At 50.5% G+C, this 1,381-nt stretch overlaps 1 annotated feature.

Annotated features, from left to right (window-relative positions):
* Positions 334-978: an enhancer, noted in NCBI's record as "NANOG-H3K4me1 hESC enhancer chr13:31401421-31402065 (GRCh37/hg19 assembly coordinates)". NCBI's record gives its function as "activates a minimal SCP1, AML or CMV promoter by ChIP-STARR-seq in primed H9 embryonic stem cells {active_cell/tissue: H9 hESC(primed)}" and the evidence as "EXISTENCE:reporter gene assay evidence [ECO:0000049][PMID:30033119]".

Below are 1,381 nucleotides of genomic sequence, written 5' to 3'. Positions count from 1 at the left end.
TTAGAGCAACTCCCTGACTTTCCTAAGCCTTCCAAATCCAGAACTCCCACCCTTCCAGACCCTGGACCTCTTGGCCTTTTTTTTAACCTGTGTCTTCTGCAACCTTTGATGACAGTAGCGTCCCCAGGGACATTTATTAAAGTGAAAACTCCTGGGGAAATCTCAGAGGTTCCGACCTAGTAGGGCTGAGGTCGGCCTAACAGTGTGAGTTGTAAGAGATACGCCATGTGTTTGCAGGAGACCCAGAGACCGGCCGAAGCCAAAGCCAGTGGTTCTCAGATGCCATCAGCATCAGAGTTGCCTAAAGCACAGAGGGCTGCTCCCTGTCTCCACAGTTTTTTCAAGACCTCTAGATGGGCCCAAGAATCTGCATTTCCAACAAGTTCTCAGGTGGCGACCATGCTGCTGGTTCAGGGACCTCACTTGGAGAATCTTTGCTTTAAGAGATATGCGCTCCTCCCCCTTCAATTCATCACCCACCAGGGAAGAGTAGTCTCATCATGTCTGCTTCTCTAGACCTCTCCAACAAGACAAGAGGCTCCCACAGACTCTTCTCAGCTGTCAGGGACCTGGACCTTTGCAGACCCATCCTTGCTGGGTGGACTGGGGTCACGTCACAGCTTTTTGTCAGAACCATCAAGACAAAGTGTCAAGTAACTGAGTCCCAGTGTATGTGTGACCCACAATTTACTTATAGGAGGGGGCTTAAAAGTGATACCCTGGTTAGAATGAGGGTCCTGAAGGCCTGTCTTGAAGTGTTGACTTCTCAGCAGGTGAACTATTGTTATTTAGATGGTATTTTCTTTAGAGAGGTAAGGTGGGGGTGGGGGAATAAAGTAGATGGAGATTATTAGGGAGAGGGTTAAAGTCCCCCAAGCCACTCCCTGGGATCTGTCCTTGGAATGGGGCAGGGGTATTGAGCCAGGGCCAAAAACTAAGAGGTAAGTCTAAAGAGAACAAGCGGTAAGATTCCAAATCAGGGAGACCCTCGGAGACAGAGGCACACAGGGGAGAGGCCGGGAGGGCTGAGGCTTCATTTACCGTTCAGGCCAGAGAAGCAGGCCTTTTGCAGACCGGGCCTGAATCTTACAGCGGCCTGGCTCCGGCACTGACCGAAACCCAGCCTAGCCACTAGCATGCCCAGGAGGCCGTTAGCACTTTCTGTGCCTGTTCTCAGTCTCCACAACACTACACCTGGGGGTGCGGGAAGCCCAGAATCCGGCACGAGGAGTTGAGAAATATAATTGATCAAGTGAGGCCAGGGATAGTCCCCCTCGCAGAAGATGATTCTCATGATCTGTCTGAGGATTCGGTCAGAGCGTATGGAGAACCCCAGGTGTTGCCTTTTTTCGTTTTTTGTTTTGTTTTTTTTTTTGAGATA

This window comes from Homo sapiens, chromosome 13 (assembly GCF_000001405.40).
Source record: "Homo sapiens chromosome 13, GRCh38.p14 Primary Assembly".
In the NCBI taxonomy this organism is placed as follows: domain Eukaryota; kingdom Metazoa; phylum Chordata; class Mammalia; order Primates; family Hominidae; genus Homo; species Homo sapiens.
Note: the sequence above shows the minus strand (reverse complement) of the source record. Positions and strands in the feature narration are given on the sequence as shown.